Here is a 25,509-nt window from a genome sequence, read left to right as displayed (position 1 = left end):
AATTTCAGGCAACAATTCTAATGTTTGCACTTAGAATAGAGGAAAAGTGTTCATTTATTAAAAAAAGTATGCATGGCTGGACTTGGTGGCTCACGCCAATAATCCCAGCATTTTGGGAGGCCCAGGCGGGCAGATTGTTTGAGACCAGGAGTTCAAGACCAGCCTGGCCAACATGATTGATGTCTTATGTCTCCCCAAAACATAAAGAAACTGTTAGAAACAAGAGCTTGGAGTCACACGGGAAACAAGCACTCAAAGGATTTCTCAACAAGGCAAATTTACTTCTTCGGAAGGCTGCTGCTTGCACTTCTGGCCACTGCGAGATGACACTGAACAAAGGAGGGAAGGGGTTTTTATCCCCAGTGCAGTTATTCCCTGCTTCTGTGTCCCCATTGGCTGGAGCTGTACTGCACAATCCAAAGTGACACAATTGGCTACCATTAAAATTGAATATGGCTAATTAGGCGGGAAGGGAGAGGCTGTCCGTTATGGTACAAGGCATGTTTGGGCATGTCAGGGCACAGCAAAGCCAGAAGGGTAGTTTTGGCAGGAAGAGCTGTTTCGGCAGGAGAGGCAGTTTACAGAATGGGTAGCCAGGAGCAAAGAGGACTTCTTCCAAATAAGGAAGAGATATGAGTTACAGATTGGGACTGTCGGGAGAAGTTGTTTATGGAGCAGGTAGCTTAGGAGAAGGGACTAGGAAGTTGATCTCAAGAACAAAGAACAAAGAGGTCAAAAATTAAACCTTTGAAGAGGAACTTAGTGTATCTGACAAAACCAAGTTGTAACCCAACCACCTTGGGTGCATGTTCTCAGGATCTACCTCTTGAGCCTGTGTCTCGGGCCTTGGTCTGTCATATTTAACTTGGAATAAACCTCTTTAAATATTTTATGGTCTGACTCTGTTCCTAGAAAGAAACTCAGTCTGAAAGGAAGTGACCCCTGAGTGAGAGCCCTTATCTAGAAATGGAGCATTCAATCTTTAGGTCAAAATTCCACTTGCTATTTAGAAGTAAGTTGTGTGGACTTTTATCATTATAATAAGCATTTATAGTCATAGTGTAAGCAGTTGAGGTAGATGTTAAAGACCTGCATCAGAACTGAGGGTGTTTTCTATGCTCCTTATTTAACCAAGGGAGGTTTAGAATCTTTGCTTTTCCAGGTTTAGGCACATTTCATATTTCTTCCTTTCCAGTTTGAATGATGATATATTCCACTGTGTTTCTTTATCCATTCAATAAAAACCTTTTAGTAACTTCTACTTTTATATAGTCTTGGAGGAAATTAAAATATTTTACCCCAAAATATATTTCTTTGATATACTTTGAAATGGCTTTCTCTTAGCCACCTGACAGAACTGGCCTTACAAAGCACTCTTAAGTGGAGAAAATTTGCATCTGTAGAGAGTCTCCATTAATGCAGCCATGCCCCCTCACCTTTCTGAGCCTTTCTCCATATCCAGGAGAGATTGAGAGTCTGATGCCTTTAAAAGTTTAAAAAGAAACGTTTACCATCCATTGTCTCTGTTGGAGGTTTCATCTACGTAACAATGCCACCTTTGCTAATCAAGCCTCTTCTCCCCTTCCCATAACCTATTTTACCAGAATCTAAGTCCTCATTCTTTCTGTAACCTCTAAATGGTATATAAATTTCTGGAACTCATTGGGAAATTGGTTCTTCATTATGAAGGCTCCCATGTATACATGTTGAGAACATTTGTATGCCTTTTCTCCTGTTAATCAATCTGCCTATGCCACTGATTTTTAGCAAACCTTTAGGCGGCCAAGGGCCTTTGGCCCCCAGTCTTAAAATACTCTTCACCTTTCATGTATTTGATAAGTAGGACCTTGTGTTTCTGGATATTTGTCCCAAGTGAGGATGGCTTTGGGAAACAAGACAAATGCAAAATGTCTTGTAAAGCCGAGTGTCACAAGATGTTAAGACATCACAAGGAGAGGACTCAGCAGCTTTTCAGTAGCAGACAAATAGAGCAGTGACAGGTGATTTGGCCTGTCTCTTCCAGGGTAATCCCTCCAGCTCCTGTCAAATGCTATGGGTGGTTATGATGTTGTCTACACAAGGGACTAAAAGTGGAAAAAAGGTCTGAGTAATGCTGTGCTACAGGAAGGGGTTTTTGTGGTCTATGTAAGTTATTAAAATCTGCATTGACAACTTCCTATGTGGTTCTTCAGCTATTCAAAGAAAATAAAACCTCCTAAGTTATTTCCAGGCACACTGGTCTTTTTCTTTTAACTTACTCAGACATCACAAAGTGCCTAGACAATTGAAAGTTGGTCCTGATGACTCAATCTTTCCCCACCAAAGTTGTGAACACTGGAGGAAATAATGGATATTATTAGATAGTGCTTGACACATAATAGTTATGTAATTAATGTTTGTTTTCAAAAAGCTGGTGAGCAACAGCCTGAAATTGACGTTTTTTGTTCCTTCACCTTTAAGGGAAAGAGACCTGCAGTTAAATTTGAAATGATGGACAACTTGACCCCAAAAAGACCTTGCTGTAATTTGAATTCCTGTTGGCTGTCTGAAAGGTGAGATAAGGTTAGAGCTAAAGGTGAGTAAAGTAGACTAAAAGGCACTTCAAGCCTGGAAAACTTGTTTGCTTAGATGCAGTTTTATCCATACAATCACAGTCATATTTCTATTTGTGTTTCATATCAGATGGTGGCCTGGTAGGTATTTCTTGGTGCGAGTATGAACTCTAGACTGAAACAGGATTGAAGAACAGAGTAATTTAAGCAAATATTGAATTTCAAATGCAAGGTCTCACTTAAATGTAGGTAGAAGAGTCCACCTGTATTTAAAGAACAATGTAAGTATTAATATAAAAGAGAAAGATGACACAGAAAAATCAAGGAGACCAAAAGATGGTTATTTGAGAAGGTCACTGACATTGATAAAATAGATATTAAGAGTATGTGGGAGTGACTGAAAGGGAATTATTGGCCTTTGTGCCCAAATATCTTTCCCAGTTACCCAAACAGTGATATTACTCAATTCACTAGTTAAGACATTGATATGTCTTATTCAGATGGAAAATAAAGTTTGAATAGAATAAAATATGAAATCATCACCAGCTATTAATATCTTATGGTTATTATATTACTAGGTCGGTTGGAGTCTTAGAGATGGGTCAAAGGACGGGTAAGTTTTGATGAGGGACAGGGTTTGGGAGGTTCAGAAGATAAGAGGATACCTAACGTTCCATCTTGCTGAAGAAGAAACCAAAGCAATAGAAAGAATTGTGCCTTATGCTGAAAGATGATTCCAGTTTTATTTCCAGAATGTTTTTTCCTCTTGGAACATATGTGTAGATTTAAATGTGACTTCTGTTGAGCCGTATTAATTCTCCTATCTTTTTCCTTAAAATGTACAATAAGAAACAAAGAAGACTAGCTCCCTCTAAGAAGAAAACAGACTATGATACGATAGAGAAATGTTGATGAAAAGAGTCAAAACCTGTAAAATATTTAGAGAGGTTTATTCTGAGGCAAATATGGGTAGCCAGTGACGCAGCCCCAGGAGGTCTTGAGAACATGTCCCCAAAGTGGTTGGTTTACAGATTAATTTTTATTTTTTTTTTTGAGATGGAGTTTTACTCTTGTTGCCCAGGCTGGAGTGCAGTGGTGCAATCTTGGCTCACTGCAACCTCTGCCTCCCAGGTTCAAGTGGTTCTCCTGCCTCAGCCTCCCAAGTAAATGGGATTACAGGCATGCACCACCACACCTGGCTATTTTTGTATTTTTAGTAGAGACAGGATTTCACCATGTTGGCCAGTCTTGTCTCGAACTCTTGACCTTAAGTAATCTGGCCACCCTGGCTTCCCAAAGTGCTGGGATTACAGGCCTGAGCCACTGTGCCCTGCCTACAGCTTGATTTTATACATTTTTGGGAAACAGAAGTTACAGGCCAGCATCAATCACTACTTGTAAGGTACACATTTGTTCAGTATGGAAAGGCAGGGCAACTCGAAGCGGAGGGTTCCAGGTCATAGGTAGTTACCAAGATTTTCTGATGTGGTTGAAAGGATTAGGTTATTATCTAAAGACCTGGAATCAACAGAAAGGAATGTCTAAGTTAAGATAAGGGGTTGTGGAAACCATGGTTGTTATGCAGATGAAACCCTAAGTAGCAGGCTTTAGAGAGATTACATGGTAAAGGTGCCAGACTCTTAGTTAAATCTCTCTTGGATCCGGAAAAGACCTGGAAAGGGAAGGGTGTTCTCTACAGAAAGTAGATTTTCCCCACAAGAGACAGCTTTGCAGGACCACTTCAAAATATGTCAGAGACATATATTTTGGGGTAAAATACTTTGATTTTTTTTCAGTATCTGCTATCTTTGATGTGATACTATACTGGAGTCAGATTAGAATTTGGTATCTTATTACTACAAAGAGCTTGTTTTGTCACTCATAAGATCTCTGTTTCAGTGTTAATGCTGGGTAGCTGTGATGGAATTCCAAAGAGAGGAGAGTATAATGAGGCATGTCCAATACCCAGCCCCCTTCCCATCATAGCCTAAACTAGTTTTTCATGTTTATTGTGGAATTCCCTTGGCTGAGAGTGGGATCCATTCAGTCTGTTTTGGGGATTAGAATTTTATTTTTGCTTTACTGAAGAAAGGCTATTACTTGAAGCAAGTGAAAAATGCTATATGCAAATTATGAGAATACACAAACACCTACATCTACATCTACCTAAGGAATGGCTAATTCTATTTGTCAGCTTGACTGGGCTAAAAGATGCCCAGATAGCTGGTAAAACATTATGTATGGGTATGTTTGTGAGAGCTTTTCTGGAAGAGATTAGCATTAGAATCAGTAGACTGAGTAAAGAAGAACAACTTCACCAATATGTGTGGACATCGTCCAGTCCATTGAGAGCCCAAATAGAACAAACGGTGGAGGAAGGGTGAATCATTCTGTTTAAATTGGGTCATTCGTCTTCTCCTGCCCTGGGAGATTGGAGCACCTCGTTCTCAGGCCTTCTGACTCAGACATGGACTTAACACTATCAGCCCTGCCCCAGTTTAAGGCCTTCAGACTCAAACTGAGTAACACTACCAGCCTTCCTGGTTCTCCAAGGTTGCAGATTGCAGAGTGTGGGACCTGTTGGCTTCCATAATCATCTGAGCCAATTACCATAATAAACCCATACCCCTGGATTCTCCTCTACTTAAGGGTTATAGCCCCGTAAGTCATGTTTATTGTGGAAATGTGAAAATGCATTTAATACACCTAACCTACCTACCATCATAGCCTACCTTAAACATTCTCAGAACATTTATATTAGCCTATAGTTGGGCAAAGCATCTAACACAAAGCCTATTTTATAACAATCTGTTAAATATCTCATGTAATATATTGAATATTTTATTAAAATATACCACTTTTATACCATCAGTAAGTTGAAAAATCGTAAGTGAAACCATCATAAGTTGGTGACTGTATGTCTGTGTATATATATATATGTGTGTGTGTGTGTGTGTGCACATAGATACCTATCTATAGATCTCTACATAGGTTCTGTTTCTTTGGAGAAACCTAACTAATACAGATTTTGGTACTGAGAGTGTTTATAGAGCAATCAAATTTTAATAATGACTTTCTTAATTAGATCTAGGGTTTCTGGAATTGGCTTTCACATCTGATTAGATTTAAAGGCAATAGTGATGCTATTTCCAGTGGTAAAGAGAGCACTGATCGTCTAAGCCATCATCTGTTTATAGAGACATGCATATTATCTGCACTGGATACTCATAATTAACTACTTACAAGAAGCAAGGAGTTTGGTGACTCTGTATATGATTGATACTTTTGGACATTTTTTGAATACTAAGGAACATAATGATGTCAGATGGTTGTTTCTAATGTTATTGGAAAAAGTGTTGAAATAAATGAATGAACTCAAGGATTTGAATTCCCAGCTCAAGAGACTCATAAATGAACCTGGGCAACGTGGCAAAACCCCGTCTCTACTAAAAATACAAAAATTAATCGGGTTTGATGGTACATGCCTGTAGCCCCAGTCACTCGGAAGCCTGAGGCATAAGAATTGCTTGAACCTGGGAGGTGGAGGTTTTAGTGAGCCGAAATTGCACCATAGCACTCCAGCCTAGGTGACACAGCAAGAGTCTGTGTCAAAAAAAAAAAAAAAAAAAAGAGAGAGTGAGAGAAAGAGACCCATAAATGACCTAAGAGTTTCTAAGTGTCCTCTGAAGGAGGGCATTATCACTTGTAGCCACAGGGTGGAAATTGCTGAAAATTAAGAACTTCGTCCTGCAATTGGCTGAATTTTAATGCGAGATGAAGTCCCAGCTCTACAGGGTGACTGCTGTTAAAGTGAGGGCAACTTATTGGGGAAAAAATGTAAGTTGGGATGGGGGCCTGTGGAAATACCCTGACGCAGCTGGGGACACTAAGCCCCTGAATTATGATGAATCTTCTTTGACATTGAAAGCAGTCTCCCCACACCAATGGAAGTGGCTGCCCTACCCCAGGTGGAATTGGGTCCCCGCTACCACAGTGGTATCAGCTTTTCCGCCACCATCTGAGAGTACTAATACTGAGGAAAAGGGTAATGGCCTCCCCTGAGGCAGCTGCCACGTAAGATAATGCTGATTATCCTCAGTATCCACCCTGCTACCGCTCTTTTCTTCTAGACTTGTAACAAGACTCAAGTCTCAGCAGACCCCTAAAGATAAGGTACAAAATATGACTTATGCGGAGATGTACTACATGCCAAAAGAACTACTTGAATTCTTGAATTTTCTTTATCTTTTTTTTTTTTTTGAGATGGAGTCTCGCTTTGTTGCGCGGGCTGGGGTGCAGTGGTGCAATCTCAGCTCACCAACCTCCACCTCCCAGGTTCAAGCCATTCTCCTGCCTCAGCTTCCTGAGAAACTGGGTTTACAGGTGCACACTACCACATCTGGCTAATTTTTGTATTTTGAGTACAGATGGGGTTTCTCCATGTCAGCCAGGCTGGTTTTGAACTCCTGAACCTCGTGATCCACCCTTCTCAGCCTCCCACAGTGTTGGGATTACAGGCGTGAGCCACCGCGCTCAGCTTAACTACTTGAATTTTCTAATTCACACAAGCAAAAATCTGGGGGACATACATAGAATAGATATTAAGGGTATAGGGTAATGGTGGAAGGAACATAAAGTTGAATTGGGCTGAATTTATTGATATGGACTCACTAAGAAGAGATTCTGCATTTAATGTTCCAGTTCAGGGAGTTAGAAAGGGCTCTTTCAGTTTGTTTGGTTTATTGCTGAAACATGGATCAAAAGATGGCCCAGTATGAGCGAATTAAAAACGTTGGATCTCCCTTGATTTAATATGGAGGAAGAGATTCAAAGGCTTAGAGACACCGGAATGTTAAATTGGATTTATCATTGAAGACCTACTTACCACCCACATGGGCAGGGTCTAGAAGGCATACCATTTACCAATACTTTCAGAAATAAATTTGTGAGGGGAGCCCTAGTATCCTTGAAGAGTTCCATGATTGCTGTTCTCTGTAGGTCAGACATTTCAGTGGTAACCCCAGGTTCTTGCACTCTCCCAGGATAGAAATCAAAAGAGATCACTGAACACAAGCAGCAAACATTAAGTTTAAGTTTATTCCACCTTGTGCACAAGGGAGCTAGCCCTGAGAAAGGAAAAACAAGTGAACTGTTCCCCAAGGACAGTATGTGAGTTAGTTTTATAAGGTCTTTCCATAGGGAAAGCTTACATCAGCAGGTACATGTACAGGAGGAGCTTTTCTAACACTTGCATGGTGGTCAACATGCTTCTTCATACATTGTATGTAACATTAGCATTTTAAATCGCTACCCTGGGCATGAAAATGAGGAGGCATTAAAATGATGAAGAGGTAACTTTAGGTTGGAGTTTAAGTCTAGCTGTGCATGCAGAGCTCTGGGGAAATCCCTAGCCCTCTGAAATAGAAGCTTGTGGTTAATAGTCTCTTGGGTCTCTTGTTAGTGACTGTCTGAGAGATAAGCTAGAGTTTCAGTGAGGGGCTTTTATCCTTTTCCTCCAGACCATCTTAAAATAGGGAATCAACCAACCTGCCTGTCTCAACCTCAGCTACTCAATTAGAAAACTTAAATGCAATGAAAGTGATTGGACCTTGGGATGCCAGAGAATAAATAGTAGCACTGAACTGCCAGGAGCAAGGTCAGTGTCATTAATAATGGACAGCAGGGCGAAAGTAGTAATCAGAATAGTCTGACTTGGTCAGACCTATGGTGTTGAGCAGTTAATCACAGTGTTCCTAGAAATGAAATAGATATTGTATTAGTCAGGGTTCTCTAGAGGGACAGAGCTAATAGGATAGATGTATGTGTGTGTGTGTGTGTGTGTGTGTGTGTGTGTGTATATATATATATATATATATATATATGAGTTTATTAAGGAGTACTGACTCACACAATCACAAGGTGAGGTCTCACAGTAGGCCATCTGCAAGCTGAGGATCAAGAAAGCCAGTCTGAGTCCCAAACCTGAAGAACCTGGGGTCCAATGTTTGAGGGCAGGAAGCATCCAGCACAGGAGAAAGATAGAGGCCAGAAGACTGAACCAGTCTAGTCTTTCCTCATTCTTCTGCCTGTTTTTATTCTGGCCATGCTGGCAGCTAATTAGATGGTACCCACCCAAACTGAGGGTGAGTCTGCCTCTCCCAGTCCACTGACTCAAATGTTAATCTCCTTCGGCAACACCCTCACAGACACACCCAGGAGCAATATTTTGCATCCTTCAGTGCAATCAAGTTGACAATCAGTATTAACCACAACAGATACCAAGCCTACTAAATTCTTACATAATCTGTATAAGCAGAAAAGTTCTAGGTCAGGTGGGCAAAAGTATAACTTGAATCATAAAAACAGAGAGTCATAGCCCCTTAATGAATTCTCAGACTTGAGCCAGTTTACAGACACAGAATCACTTGAATGAAGAGAAGGAAAGGTGCCCTTGAGGAAAGTCTCTGATATACTACTGATAAATGTACATACTATTCATCTTTTTCCCACTTTTCCCCAAATTTACCTATTTTTGCCAGGGACTGCATTTAGGCAAAGAAAATAATGAGACATTTTCAGGACTACTAGGCACTGGCTACAAACTGACTAGTTCCAGGAGATCCAAATCATCATTTGACCCTCCAGTCAGAATTGGGGCTTATAGAGGTCAGGTAATGAATGGATTGTAAGCTCAGGTCTGCCCCACAGTAGAGCTAGAGGGTCTCCAACCCATCCTGTGGTTATTTCACCAATTCCAGAATGTATACTTGGGATAGACATATTCCGCAATCCTTACATTGTTTCCATGACCTTTGGATTGAGGGCTATTATTGTGGTGAAGGCCAAGTAAAAGCCACTGGAACTGCCTCCTCAGGAAAATAGTAAATCAAAAACGTTATAGCATTCCTGGAGGGAGTGTAGAACCATCTGTAAAGCAGGTTCTGGTCTTCTCTTCTTTTGTCTACTGGCAGGAAACTCCTCATGCAGCCATAGGTGCAGGCTGGGAGAGAGAAGGCAGGGTAGCAAGAGTGGGGACCATAGGCATTTGAGCTACTTCTTCATGCAACTTACTTGTGCCTTCAAGACCTGCTCAGGCCTTATTACTTACATACCACTTCCATTTGATGAAGGAGTACTGATGTACGTGGCCAAATTTATGACTTGTTGGGTCAGATAACATACAATTCAGATCACATGATTCTTTGGTGGCCCATGATTCAATTACAGTGCTAGCTACATGGCAGTACCTTGCAGGGCTTGGGTAAGATTGTCCAGAAGGATATTCTGAATTGGCATCCTATATATGGTATGTTTTTTTCTGATAGCCGGGTTTCATGGGTCCAGGAATCAAAAGGTGGAAATAGGAGTGACACCACTCACTGTTATTCCTAGTGACCTTCTAGCAAATTTTTTACTTTCTGTTCCCACAACTTTATGCTCTGCTGGCCTAGAGGTGTTAGGTCCAATGCAAATCAAGAGATTAGTGCCACCATCAAAAACTTGAAAGGTGCAGGGTTGGTGACTCCCACCACATCCCCATTCAACTCTCCCATTTGGCCTGTGCAGAAGACAGATGGAACTTGGAGAATGATAGTGGATTATTCTAAGCTTGAACAAGTTATGACTCCAATTGCAGCCGCTGAAGCAGACGTGCTTTCATTGCTTGAACAAATGAATGCATTCCCTGGTATGTGGTACACAGATATTGATCTGAAAAATGCCTTTTTTTCCTATACCTTTCCATAAAGTCCTCCAGAAGCCATTTGCTCTCAACTGGCAGGGTCAGCAATACACCTTCACTGTCCTACCTCAAGGGTATATCAATTCTTCATCTCTATGTAATAATTTAGTTCACAGAGGTGTTTTCTAAAACACTTACTGGTTTATTAGAAAGGATATTACAAAGGTCACAGATGAAGAGATGCATAGGACAAGGTATGGAAAGGGGCGTGGTGCTTCCATACCCTCCCAGGCAGGAGTGGTATTCTCCAGGAACCTCCTCATGCTCATCTATTTGGAAGCTCTCTGAACCTGTCCCTTTGGGGTTTTACGGAGGCTACATTAGGTAGGCATGACTGATTAACTCAATGGCCATTGATGATCAGCTTAACCTTCAGACTCTCTTTCCCAGCCAGAGGTTGGGCTGAAAGTCCCAATCCTGTAATCATGCCTTGCTTTTTCCAGTAACCAGCCCCTATCCTGAAGCTGCCTAGGGGCTGCCAGCCATCAGTCAACTCATTAGCATACAAAAGACATCACTTTAGAGAGCCTAAGGATTTTAGAATTTGTATACCAGGAAACAGGTTGAAGACCAGTTCGCAGGAATCTTGACTGCCTTTCTCTTCAGATGGATATCACACTGGCGCATTACATTGATGACATTATGCTGATTGGACCTAGTGAGTAAGAAGTAGCAACTACTCTAGACTTATTGGTAAGATATTTGCATGCTAAAGGGTGGCAAATAAACTGAATTAAAATGTAGTGACCTTTTACATAAGTGAAATTTGTATGGGTCCAGTGGTGTGGCACATGTGAGATATTCCTTCTAAGGTGAAAGATAAGTTGTTGCATCTGGTCCCTCCTACAACCAAGAAAGAGACACAATGCCTATTGAGCCTCACTGGTTTTCAGAGGCATCATATTCCTCATTTGGCTCTGTTGCTCCAGCCCGTTTACCAAGTGACCCAAACAGCTGCTAGTTTTGAGTGGGGCCCAGAACGAGAGAAAGTTCTGCAACAGGTCCATGCTGCTATGCCAGCTGCTCTGCCACTTGGGCCACGTGACCCCACAGATATGATGGGGCTTAAAGTATCAGTCATAGGTAGGGATGCTGTTTGGTGCCTTTGGCTGGCACCTGTGGGTGAAATGCAGCACAGACTTTTAGGATTTGGAAGTGAGGCCCTGACATCATCTGCAGATTTAAAAATACTTTCAAGAGACAGCTCTTGGCTTGCTACGAAGCCTTAACTGACTAGTTTCAGGAGACCCAAATCATCATCTGACCCTCCAATCAGAGTAGGGGCTTATAGAGGTCAGGTAATCAATGGATTTTAAGCTCAGGCATGTCCTACAGTGGGTCTAGAGGGTCTCTAAACCCATCCTGTGGTTATTTCACTCACCAATTCCAGAATGTATACTTGGGATAAACATACTCTTCAATCCTTACATTGTTTCCATGACCTGTGGAGTGAGGGCTATTGTGGTGAAGGCCAAACACTGACTGCTTGATCATGGGCCACCAAAGAATCATGAGACCTGAACTGTACGTTATCTGACCCAACAAGTCATAAGGTTGGGCATGCACAGCAGCATGTCTTCAAGTGGAAGTGACATATAAATGGTCAGGTCTGAGCAGGTCCCAAAAGCACAAGTAAGTTGCATGAAGAAGTGGCCCAAATGTCTATGGTTCCCACTCCTGCTACACTGCCTTCTCTCTCGCAGCCTGTGAATGCATGGGGAGTTCCCTATGACCAGTTGACAAAGAAAGAGAAGTTTGTAGCCTAGTTTACAGATGGTTCTGCACAATATGTAGGCACTACCCAGAAGTGGACAGCTGCAGAGGGCTGTAGAGCCCTTCTCTGGGGCATCCTTGAGGGACAGTGGTGAAGAGAAATCCTCCCTGTGGGCAGAACTTTGGGTGGTGCATCCGGTTGTGCACTTTGCTTGGAAATGGCTGGAAATGGCTGGATGAGCAATTATATACCAACTCATGCTCAGTAGTCAATGGTTTGGCTAGATGTTTAGGAAAGAAACACGATGGAACAATAAGTGGCAGAGAAGTCTAGGGAAGAGGTATGTGGCTAGAACTCTCTGAATGGGCAAAAAACATGGATATTTGTGTCCCACATGAATGCTTACCAGAGGATGACCTCACCAGAGAAGGATTTTAACAATCAAGTCAATAAGATGACCTATTTTATGGATACCTCCTGCTTCTTTCCCCAGCCACGTCTGTCATGATCCAAAGGGCCATGGTTGCAGGGACAGAGGTTATGTAAGGGCTCAGCAACATAGACTTTCACTCATCAAAACTGACTTGGCTTTGGCCACTGCTGAGGGGTCAAATCTGCCAACAGCAGAGATCAACACTGAGACCTCCCAATGTGGCACAATTGCCCAAGGTGATCATCCAGCTAACCTGGGGGTGGGTTGATTGTATTGGATCACTGCCACCATGAAAGGGGCAGTGTTTTGTCCTTACTGAAACAGATATTTACTCTGGATATAAATTTGCCTTCTCTGTATGCAATAATTCTGACAAAACTACCATCTGTGGACTTACAAAATGTCTTATCCACCGTCATGTTTTTATATACAGCATTATTTCTTAAGAAGAAACTCACTTTATAGGAAAAAAAAAAAAAAAAAAAAACAACAACAACAGAAAAAAACGCAGCAATGGGCTCATGCTCATGGAATTTGCTGGCCTTGCTATGTTATGTTCTGTACTGTCTTGAAACAGCTGGTCTGCTAGAACAGTGGAATGGCTTTTTGAAGACTCATTTGCAGTGCCAGCTACATGGCAATATTTTTCAGGCTGGGGCAAGATTGTGCAGAAAGATGCTCTGAGTCAGTATCTTAGATATGTTTCTCTGTTAGCCAGGATTCATGGGTCCAGGATTCATGGGTCCAGGAATCACGGGGGAGAAATGGCAATGGCACCACTCATTGTTACCCCTAGTGGCTCATTAGCAATTTTTGCTTCCTGTTCCCACAACTTTATGCTCTGCTGACCTAGAGGTGTTAAATCTAGAGCAAGGAATGTTTTCAACAGGTGACGGAATACTGATTTCATGGGACTGGAAGTTAAGACTGCCAGTAGGCTGCTTTGGACTCCTCGTGTCTCTGAGTCAACAGGCTAAAAAGGGAGTGACAGTGTTGGCTGGGGTGATTAATTTGGAATTCCAAGGGGGAAATTGGACTGCTCTTCCACAACAGAAGTAAGGAAGAATATGCCTAGGAGACACAAGATCCCTTAGGACATCCCTTAGAATTACTGTCCCCTATGGTTGAGGTGAATGGAAAGCTACGCCAGCCCAACCCAGGTATCCTACTAATGGCCCAGACCCTTCAGGAATAAAGTTGTTGGGTCATTCCAGGGGCAAAGAACCATGACAAGCTGAGGGCTGAGGTGTTTGCTGAAGGCAAAGGAAATATGGAATGGGTAGTAGAAAAATGTAATTATACATACCAACTACAACTGTATGATCAGTTACAGAGATGAAGACTATAATTATAGTTCTTTCCTATTTTGTTATCAATATATTTGTGTCTATGTAAACATATATTAAGCAAATATCTTTGTTTTCTTTATTCTCTTGATAAGGCCATTGGTGACCTATGCAAGAATATTATCAGCCTAGTGATGAGGTGGTAAGTCGTATTTCAGGATACTAAAAAGAGAATGAATAGAGAGGAATAGAAAACTGTGTTGTAAGAAACTGTCTTTGAACACAAGGAGAATAAGAATAAGCAGGAAAGTTCAAAATGGTCATGCTTTCCCGCCTCAAACTGAGAGAGGTTTGAGCTTATTTCAAAGCAGAAAAGAGGAGCGAGAAATGCTATAGATGCCAGAGAAAAGAGCCCATAACAGAAACAGTGAAGATAGAAGGTTATTTACTTTGGAAATAATATTAAGCAACTCTCCCTTGAAATGTAGCATAAGAACATAGATCTAGAGGGAAAAGGAAAAAGAGTGTCAGATGAATAAGGAGTAATAACAGAGTGTTATCGAGGACTTGAAGAAGAAAGGTTTGAACTACCACTTGTTCTGTGTGCACAAAGTTTAAAATAATTCAATATAAAAGGTGAGAGCAACAACAAAATCCTGGTTGAACCTAATGGTGTGTCTTTTTGGATAAAAAGTGTTCAAAGAGACCACATAATTGTTCATAAACATTTACTGCTATAGCATCACTTTACTACTTGCTAATTAATTCACTAAGATTGATGAGGATTAAATTGGGAGAGCGAGATACTGGAAAATTTTATTTTCTGATCCTACGCACTCACACCCAATGTGAGCCAAAGCCCCGGTTGTCAATGGTTACACCACTGTGATTCAGAAGAAAGCTGTTCCACATTAGTAAATTAGATTAAAAACACATTGTTACTTTCAACATTAGCAAAAGCCACATGGTATGTTGCAACAAAGCAGAAGATTAGGGAGCATAATATCTTTCCAAACTAAGCAAGGTGGCAGGGTGGCAAGCACTTACTCACTTACATCTTGGGGATGCAAGAGGAGTTCTTGCTTTAAAAGTAGAATTAACTCTGAGGAAGTAGAGCAAAGGCATTGTTCATCAGAAAGACCAGACAACGAGACATAGTTGATGTCAAGATAAACTACATGAGAGAAGCATGAGGGAAATCTGGCAAAGGTAATCATATGCCGAGAAAAAGAGAAATGTAATTTAGGAAGTAGGAAACCAGTAGCTACTGTGATTAGCTGGCAGAGAGGCAAAGGAAAAAGAGCTGAAACTCCAACTAATAATATACATTAAAATGGAGGGATGATGTTTTTTTCCCACATGCGTTTTTCTCTTTATTAAATAGGAACTGCATTGAAATTTGAATGTAGCTTCTCAGAATAAATCTGGGCATGTGTCCAACCTTGTTATTTCCACTTCCAAGGTCAATGAGCTAATATTTCAGTAGCACGTGTTTGCCTTTCATTTAGGCTTATTTCAAGCTCGATCATTACAGAGAAGGCTCTTCTCCTATTCCTGTTCCATTATTGTAGCCCATACCAGAGGAAAAGTGTTTCTGGACACTTGTAGACAAAGAAAATAGCCCGACTCCATTCTTCTTTAAGTCTAATGACACGTGAAATAGGTATCATTTGGTTATGATCGTAACACAATCGCTAGTGTCTAACCCAGCAAACAAAGGTTTCAGATAGATCCCAAGAGACAATTTTTCCTGAGAAATTAGAACAGGATTTCAGAAATCAGCAGAGTACTTTCTAATAGGAGATTACTGTCAGCATACTCTGGGGACTAAAGACAAGGGTGGGCCACTGGAGAGCCTGGAAATAGATCACACAGAATTCACTCCAAACTAATTATCAGTTTTCATTGAAATCATCTGTACCAAAGGGCTCAGGATTTGAGCAGTGACTGTACAAGTAGACTGTCGTGGTTTCCTATAGATTCATGGCAGGCAGCAGCATCAGGAAAGAGGCCAGAAATGGCTCTTTTATAAACCTGGAATAAGTGATGTATCAAAAAGACACCTCAGGAGTGGAAATTTACACATAAGCTCGGGTAGGAAGCTAGAATGATCCATGTGATAATTGATTAGAGTTGAAGGCATCAATGTGAACTCACGTTTAGCTTAATATAGATATAAATTATTATGTATAAGAATATTTATAGATATTTGTGTCTAGACAGGTCAGACTATACACATATATTTCCTTGTTCTGTCAGCTGAGGTCTCAGCTGTAACAAGCACACCCTAATATGCAGATCTTAAGATCTTAGTTTCTGTTTCTTTTCCTTCCTTCCTTCTTTCTTTCTTTCTTTCTTTCTTTCTTTCTTTCTTTCTTTCTTTCTTTCTTTCTTTCTTTCTTTCCTTCCTTCCTTTCTTTCTTTCTTTCTTTTTTTTTTTTGTGACAGGGTCTTGCTCTGTCACCCAGGCTGGAGTGCAGTGGCATGAACATGGCTCACTGCAGCCTCTGCCTCCTGGGCTCAAAAATCCTCCTACCTCAGCCTCCCGAGTAGCTGGGACCACAGGTATGTGCCACCATGCTTGAAATTTTCTAAAAAATTAATTTTTATTTAGAGCTCGGGTTCTTGCCATGTTGCCCAGGCTTGTCTTGAACATCTGGGCTCAAGCAGTCTGCCCATCTTGGCCTCCCAAAGTGCTGGGTACAGGTGGTAGCCACCATGCCTGGCCAAGATCTTTGTTTCTAATGCCATTGTCCAATAAAAGAAACTATAGCTCCTTGAAGAAATAACTTGTTCTGGGATTGGGGTAGGAAGTGTACAAGATGAGCCTGGAGAATCTTACAGTATAAGAAAGTAAGAAAATACTAAAAAGAAAAAAATCCACAATAATGGGGGCATATCAAAGAAACACAGCAGCCAACTGAAAGAGCACCCAATAGCCAAAGCTGGAATAATTTGAGCAAAAAGAAACAAAAAATTCCAAAAAGATATAGTAGTATTAGTTTATAACCCAAAGTATAAAATAAATATCCATGAATCCACACTGATGTAAATTAATGATTACATCCATAAATAAATGAGGATGGTGAGACAAATCTCTCATGTGAAATAATTCCAAATAATACATGTAGACAGTGGTCCTCAAGGAGAGGCAGCTTGACTTGTCACTCCTCAAATGTGGGATGGGCAGAGTGACTTTCCCCGACAGATGATAGCATGTGTGGGTAACATTACAGTGGGAAAGCCTAACAAATATTACTACAAGCAAGTCATCAATCACCTGGGACACTAGATGAGGCTGGTAGAACAGGCTGTGCTTATACAATTTATTCATTGTAAGTTGTGGTTTCTGTTCAAATTAACTCTTTTGTAAGTGTATATACATTTTGTTTAGCTTTCTGTTTACCAAATAACGTTTTATGGATATCCAGGGCTCCAGCTTCCTATCCACCTGCCTCAAAATGTTGTGTCACAAACACAATGACAGTTTATCATTTAAAAAAATCCTCCAAACTAAAATCTTGGTAGATAGTAAGGGGGAACAAGAAAAACAATTAACCCTGCTTGTAGGCAAATCCCTAGGCTGGAAACACTTTTCCTCTTCTAAGGGTGGATAAATAAAAATCATTATAGAGCTCATGAAAACATGCTGCAACATAAAAAATAAAAACAAAGATCCATAGGATGGTTATAAATGGAGAAATGATTAACCACAAGAAAATAATTAATTTTAAAAGTGAATCTGCTCTGAGTTCTTAATAAAATGTAAGAAAACTTGATTTTGTGATACAGTTAATCAAAGCTAAAATGATAATGCCTTAGAACACAATAAAAAATGAGTTTTCTCAAAAGAGACACAAAGAAAGAGGTAAGAAAAAATATGAAGAGGATAGAAAGGCAGAGGAGGAGGTAAACGTAATAGAAGCTAGGAAGCATAGAAACAGAAACTGCAGAGAATTTAAAAATATATAAGTGATATAGAGACTAGATTGAAAAGACTTTCAGAATGCAAGAGAAAATGAGAAGGCAATTAATATGAAAAGTAATTAACTTTCAAAGATGGGAGAAAATGGAGGTAAGACATAAAGACGGTAGGGTGATTCTGAAGAAGAATAAACAAATATAGATAATTTACATGTTAAATCATTGGTTCTTAGAAAAAGGGGAAAATTCCCAAGTCTTTTTATGAGGCTAATATTAATATGAAACATGACAGATTGCATTTAAAAAAACTTTACAGATCACTTTCACTTAAAAATGCTGATATAAAGGATTAAATAAAACATTAGCAAAAACAATTCACAGTGTAATAAAAGAATATTGTAGTTCATTCCAGGACTACAAGAACAGCTCATTATTAGAAAATATATTTATATAATTTATAGTATTGATTTAAAGAGAAAAATATAAATATCTCCATAGATTTTAAAAGACATTTCACAAAATTCAATACAATTTTTATAAAAGAAGAGAAACAATTTCTATAAAGTGAAAATAAACTAAAAGGAATGGACTAGATGTTTATAAAATTGCTATAATAACCTCCAATGACTTTAAAATGCATCATTTTTGTTCTCTTTTGAAGTTATTGTAGGATAAAATAAGCAGGAAATTTGTTCATATTTTTGGAACCAAAATACTAAGTTGAAGAGAATACAGATACAATAATAATATTATAGAAAGTTACATTAGAAATCTGTAATCAAATTTTTGAAATGGAAATATCAGTATAGACTTCTGATCTGTATTTATTGCTGTAAAATTACACATTTTTTATCTCTGTCCACTAAAAATGCCCTAGAATCAATAACAACTCAGTAAAATGAGCACCCTCTAGGAATCAGATTTTATTCTCTAAATACCATTTCCCACTGAAAAGAACCACAGCTTATTATAGAAATCACTGCTACCAGGTCTGAAGGAGAAAATGCTCAAGATGAGATTAACACCTGCAAAAATAAAACAATGCTATCGGTGATAATTGGAGTTTATTAAAAGGACATAGGAGCTTGCGATAATAGCAGAATGATGAACTATGATGTTTCAAGCTCGTATTCTACCACAGAAACACTAAAAATCAAGTAGTAAATAGCAAAAACAACTTTGTTGGAGTTTTGGAAAACATCAAAAGTTTACAGCAACCAAGAGAACACCCAACCAAGAAGAAACCATCTTCAAAATAGTAAGCTTGTTTTGTAGAGTTTTAACTCACCCCGGCCCCATTCTCTCCCTGGCATGGCAGTGCTGCTTGTCTTGATGTAGCTAGCAGTCCAGTTACCAGCTCCTTCCCTTGGACAGGAAAAAGAATAGCAAACATTATTTACAAACTTTGGTGTATGTATGTTCTAACCTCTCTGGGGAATACCTGAATCAATGAGGCAAGGCACTTAAGTTTTTTAGCTAATTTGGAGCTCAGGTGAAAAAAGCAACAGGTACTGCAGGTAAAACAGATAGCTCAGGCAAGAGGTTATAGATGAAGGCATAGAATACACCATCTAAGGCTCAGAAGAGAAGCTTGGGTAAGGCATTTTGAGAAACGAGGACCTTCAAAAGAAGCTGTATAGGTGAATTTTAAAAACTATTGTGATGGTTAATTCTAAGTGTCAACTTGATTGAAGGATACAAAGTATTGATCCTGGGTGTGTCTGAGAGGAAAGGAGATTAACATTTGAGGCTGTGGGCTGGGAAAGGCAGACCTACCTTTAATCTGGGTGGGCACAATTTAATTAGTTGCCAGCATGGCTAGAATATAAGCAGGCAGAAGAATGTGAAAAGAGAGACTGGCCTAGCCTCCCAACCTCGATCTTTCTCCCCTGCTGGATGCTTGCTGCCCTTGAACATCAGACTCCAAGTTCTTCAGTTTTGGAACTCGGACTGGCTCTCCTTGTTCCTCAGCCTGCAGATGGCCTATTGTGGGACCTTGTGGTCGTGTGAGTTAATATTTAGTAAACTCCCCTTTTTGTGTGTACATACATATATATATATATATATATATATGTATATATATATATATATATATATATATAAAATTATATATGTAATATTACCCCCTCTCCTCCCAGATATATAAAATACATAGCATATATATAATATGTATGCTAGAAGATGACCGAATAGGAACAGCTCTGGCCTGCAGCTCCCAGTGTGATTGACCTAGAAGATGTGTGATTTCTGCATTTCCAACTGAGGTACCTGGTTCATCTCATTGATACTGGTTGGACAGTGGGTGCAGCCCATGGAGTGTGAGCTGAACCAGGGTAGGGCATCACGTCACCTGGGAAGCACAAGGGGTCAGGGGATTTCCCTTTCCTAGCCAAGGGAAGCTGTGATAGACTGTACCTGGAAAAACGGAACACTCCTGCCTAAATACAGTGCTTTTCCAACGGTCTTAGCAAACAGCACACCAGCAGATTATATCCCATGCCTGGCTTGGCAGGTCCCACGCCCATGGAGCCTTGCTCACTGCTGGCTTCGCAGTCTGAGATCAACCTGCAAGGCAGCAGCCTGGCAGGGGGAGGGGTGTCTGCCATTTCTGAGGCTTGAACAGGTAAACAAAGCAGCCAGGGAAGCTCGAACTGGGCAGAGCCCACCACAGCTAGCAAGGCCTGCCACCTCTTTTGAATCCACCTCTAGGGGCAGGGCATAGGTGAACAAAAGGCAGTGGAAACTTCTGCAGACTTAAACGTCCCTGTCTGACAGCTCTGAAGAGAGCAGTGGTTCTCCCAGCATGGCGTTTGAGCTCTGAGAATGGGCAGACTGCCTTCTCAAGTTGGTCCCTGACCCCCATGTAGCCTAACTGGGAGACACCTCCCAATAGGGGCCAACTGACACCTCATATAGGTGGGTGGCCCTCTAGGATGAAGTTTCCAGAGGAAGGATCAGGCAGCAATATTTGATATTCTGCAATATTTGCTGTTCTGCAGCCTCCGCTGGTGATACCCAGGCAAATAGCACCTGGAGCGGACCTCCAGCAAACTCCAACAGACCTGCAGCTGAGGGACCTGACTGTTAGAAGGAAAACTAACAGAAAGGAATAGCATCGACATCAACAAAAAGGACATCTGCACCAAAACCCCATCTGCAGGTCACCAACGTCAAGGAACAAAGCTAGATAAAACCACAAAGATGGAGAGAAACCAGAGAAGAGAAGCTGAAAATTCTAAAAACCAGAGTGACTCTTCTCCTTCGAAGGATCACAGCTCCTCACCAGCAATGGAACAAAGCTGGTTGGAGAATGACTTTGACAAGATGACAGTAGTAGGCTTCAGAAGGTTGGTAATAACAAACCTCTGCGAGTTAAAGGAGGATGTTTGAACCCTTCGCAAGGAAGCTAAAAACCTTGAAAAAAGATTGGATGAATGGCTAACTAGAATAACCAATGCAGAGAAGTCCTTAAATGACCTGATGGAGCTGAAAACCATGGCACGAGAACTACATGATGCATGGACAATCTTCAGTAGCCTATTTGATGAAGTGGAAGAAAAGGTATCAGTGATTGAAGATCAAATTAATGAAATAAAGCAATAAGAGAAGTTTACAGAAAAAACAGTGAAAAGAAATGAGCAGAGCCTCCAAGAAATATGGGACTATGTGAAAAGACCAAATCTATGTCTGATTGGTGTACCTGAAAGTGATGTGGAGAATGGAACCAAGTTGGAAAACACTCTTCAGGATATTATCCAGGAGAACTTCCCCAATTTAGCAAGGTAGGCCAACATTCAAATTCAGGAAATACAGAGAACACAATAAAGATGCTCATTGAGAAGAGCAACCCCAAGACACATAATTGTCAGATTCACCAAGGTTGAAATGAAGGAAAAAATGTTAAGGGCAGCCAGAGAGAAAGGTCAAGTTACCCACAAAGGGAAGCCCATCAGACTAACAGCGGATCTCTTGGCAGAAACTCTACAAGCCAGAAGAGAGTGGGGGCTGATATTCAACATTCTTAAAGAAAAGAATTTTCAACCCAGAATTTCATATCCAGCCAAATTAAGCTTCATAAGTGAAGGAGAAATAAAATTCTTTACAGACAAGCAAATGTGGAGAGATTTTGTCACCACCAGGCCTGCCCTAAAAGAGCTCCTGAAGGAAGCGCTAAACATGGAAAGGGACAACCGGTACTAGCCACTGGAAAAACATGCCAAATTGTAAAGACCATTGATGCTAGGAAGAAACTGCATCAACTAATGAGAAAAATAACCAGCTAACATCATAATGACAGGATCAAATTCACACATAACAATATTAACCTTAAATGTAAATGGGCTAAATGCCCCCAATTAAAAGACACAGACTGGCAAATTGGATAAAGAGTCAAGACCCATCAGTGTGCTGTATTCAGGAGACCCATCTCAAGTGCAGAGACACACGTAGGCTCAAAATAAAGGGATGGAGGAAGATCTACCAAGCAAATGGAAAACAAAAAAAAGCAGGGGTTGCAATCCTAGTCTCAGATAAAACAGACTTTAAACCAATAAAGATTAAAAGAGACAAGGAAGGCCATTACATAATGGTAAAGGGATCAATTCAACAAGAAGAGCTAACTATCCTAAATATATATGCACCGAATACAGGAGCACACAGATTCATAAAGTGAGTCCTGAGTGACCTACAAAGAGACTTAGACTCCCACACAATAATAATGGGAGACTTTCACACTCCACTGTCAATATTAGACAGATCAACGAGACAGAAAGTTAGCAAGGATATCCAGGACTTGAACTCAGCTCTGCACCAAGCAGACCTAATAGACATCTGCAGAACTCTCCACCCCAAATCATCAGAATATACACATTCTTCACAGCACCACATGGCACTTATTCTGAAATTGACCACATAGTTGGAAGTAAAGCACTCCTCAGCAAAAGTAAAAGAACAGAAATCACAACAAACTGTTTCTTAGAACACAGTGCAAGCAAACTGGAACTCAGGATTAAGAAACTCACTCGAAACTGCACAACTACATGGAAACTGAACAACCTGCTCCTGAATGACTACTGGGTAAATTACAAAAGGAAGGCAGAAATAAAGATGTTCTTTGAAGCCAATGAGAACAAAGACACAACATACCAGAATCTCTGGGACACATTTAAAGCCGTGTGTAGAGGGAAATTTATAGCACTAAATGCCCATAAGAGAAAGCAGGAAAGGTCTAAAATCGACATCCTAATATCACAATTAAAAGAACTAGAGAAGCAAGAACAAACAAATTCAAAAGCTAGAGAAAACAAGAAATAACTAAGAACAGAGCAGAACTGAAGGAGATAGAGTTACAAAAAACCCTTCAAAAAAATCAATGAATCCAGGAGCTGGTTTTTTGAAAAGATCAACAAAATTGATAGACCGCTAGCAAGACTAATAAAGAAGAAAAGAGAGAAGAATCAAATAGATGCAATAAAAAATGATAAAGGGGATATCACCACCAATCCCACAGAAATACAAACTACCATCAGAGAATACTATAAACACCTCTACGCAAATAAACTAGAAAATGTAGAAGAAATGAATGAATTCCTGGATACATACACCCTCCCAAGACTAAACCAGGAAGAAGTTGAATCTCTGAATAGACCAATAACAGGCTCTGAAATTGAGGCAATAATTAACAGCCTACCAACCAAAAAAAGTCCAGGACCAGAAGGATTCACAGCCGAATTCTACCAGACATACAAGGAGGAGATGGTACCATTCCTTCTGAAACTATTCCAATCAATAGAAAAAGAGGGAGTTTTCCCTAACTCATTTTATGAGGCCAGCATCATCCTGGTACCAAAGCCTGGCAGAGACACAACAAAACAAGAGAATTTTAGACCAATTTCCCAGATGAACATCGATGCCAGTATCCTCAATAAATACTGGCAAACCGAATCCAGCAGCACATCAAAAAGCTTATCCACGATGAACAGGTGGGCTTCATCCCTGGGATGCAAGGCTGGTTCAACATATGCAAATCAGTAAACATAATCCATCACATAAACAGAATCAATCACAAAAACCACAAGATTATCTCAATAGATGCAGAAAAGGCCTTTGACACAATTCAACAGCTCTTCATGCTAAAAACTCTCAATAAACTAGGTATTGATGGAACATATCTCAAAATAATAAGAGCTATTTATGACAAACCCACAGGCAACATCGTACTGAATGGACAAAAACTGGAAGCATTCCCTTTGATTACTGGCACAAGAAAGGGATGACCTCTCTCACCACTCCTATTCAACACAGTGTTGGAAGTTCTGGCCAGGGCAATCAGGCAGAGAAAGAAATAAAAGGTATTCAATTAGGAAAAGAGGAAGTCAAATTGTCCCTGTTTGCAGATGACATGATTGTATATCTAGAAAACCCCATCATCTCAGCCCAAAATCTCCTTAAGCTGATAAGCAACTTCAGCATAGTCTCAGAATACAAAATCAGTGTGCAAAAATCACAAGCATTCTTATATACCAATAACAGACAAACAGAGAGCCAAATCATGAGTGAACTTCCATTCACAATTGCTACAAAGAGAATAAAATTCCTAGGAATCCCAGTTACAAGGGATGTGAAGGACCTCTTCAAGGAGAACTACAAACCACTGCTCAACGAAATAAAAGAGGACACAAACAGATGGAAGAACATTCCATGCTCATGGATAAGAAGAACCAATATCATGAAAATGGCCATACTGCCCAAGGTAATTTATAGATTCAATGCCATCCCATCAAGCTACCAATGACTTTTTCCACAGAATTGGAAAAAAACTACTTTAAAGTTCATATGGAAGCAAAAAAGAGACCGCATAGCCAAGACAATCCTAAGCATAAAGAACAAAGTTGGAGGCATCACGCTACCTGACTTCAAACTATACTACAAGGCTACAGTAACTGAAACAGCATAGTACTGGTACCAAAGCAGAGATATAGACCAATGGAACAGAGCAGAGCCCTCAGAAATAATACCACACATCTATAACCATCTGATCTTTGACAAACCTGACAAAAACAAGCAATGGGGAAAGGATTCCCTATTTAATAAATGGTGCTGGGAAAACTGGCTAGCCATATGTAGAAAGCTGAAACAGGATCCCTTCCTTACACCCTATACAAAAATTAATTCAAGATGGATTAAAGACTTAAACATTAGACCTAAAACCATAAAAACCCCAGAAGAAAACCTAGGCAATACCATTCAGGACATAGACGTGGGCAAGGACTTCATGTCTAAAACACCAAAAGCAATGGCAACAAAAGCCAAAATTGACAAATGGAATCTAATTAAACTAAAGAGTTTCTGCACAGGAAAAGAAACTGCTGTAAGAGTAAACAGGCAACCTACAGAATGGGAGAAAATTTTTGCAATCTACTCATCTGACAAAGGGCTAATATCCAGAATCTACAAAGAACTTAAATTTACAAGAAAAAAACAACCCCATCAAAAAGTGGGCAAAGGTTATGAACAGACACTTCTCAAAAGAAGACATTTAGGCAGGCAAAAGACACATGAAAAAATACTCATCATCACTGGCCATCAGAGAAATGCAAATCAAAACCACAATGAGATACCATCTCACACCAGTTAGAATGGCGATCATTAAAAAGTCAGGAAACAACAGGTGCTGGAGAGGATGTGGAGAAATAGGAACACTTTTACACTGTTGGTGGGACTGTAAACTAGTTCAACCATTGTGGAAGACAGTGTGGTGATTCCTCAGGGATCTAGAACTAGAAATACCATTTGACCAAGTGATCCCATTACTGGGTATATACCCAAAGGATTATAAATCATGCTGCTATAAAGACACA

At 40.2% G+C, this 25,509-nt stretch overlaps 3 annotated features.

Moving 5' to 3' along the window:
* Positions 966-1,525: an enhancer, noted in NCBI's record as "OCT4-NANOG-H3K27ac hESC enhancer chr10:16238027-16238586 (GRCh37/hg19 assembly coordinates)". NCBI's record gives its function as "activates a minimal SCP1, AML or CMV promoter by ChIP-STARR-seq in primed H9 embryonic stem cells {active_cell/tissue: H9 hESC(primed)}" and the evidence as "EXISTENCE:reporter gene assay evidence [ECO:0000049][PMID:30033119]".
* Positions 1,526-2,087: an enhancer, noted in NCBI's record as "OCT4-NANOG hESC enhancer chr10:16237465-16238026 (GRCh37/hg19 assembly coordinates)". NCBI's record gives its function as "activates a minimal SCP1, AML or CMV promoter by ChIP-STARR-seq in primed H9 embryonic stem cells {active_cell/tissue: H9 hESC(primed)}" and the evidence as "EXISTENCE:reporter gene assay evidence [ECO:0000049][PMID:30033119]".
* Positions 10,480-11,168: an enhancer, noted in NCBI's record as "OCT4-NANOG hESC enhancer chr10:16228384-16229072 (GRCh37/hg19 assembly coordinates)". NCBI's record gives its function as "activates a minimal SCP1, AML or CMV promoter by ChIP-STARR-seq in naive H9 embryonic stem cells {active_cell/tissue: H9 hESC(naive)}" and the evidence as "EXISTENCE:reporter gene assay evidence [ECO:0000049][PMID:30033119]".

The sequence above is a fragment of the Homo sapiens genome, chromosome 10 (assembly GCF_000001405.40).
Source record: "Homo sapiens chromosome 10, GRCh38.p14 Primary Assembly".
NCBI classification, from domain to species: Eukaryota; Metazoa; Chordata; class Mammalia; order Primates; family Hominidae; genus Homo; species Homo sapiens.
Note: the sequence above shows the minus strand (reverse complement) of the source record. Positions and strands in the feature narration are given on the sequence as shown.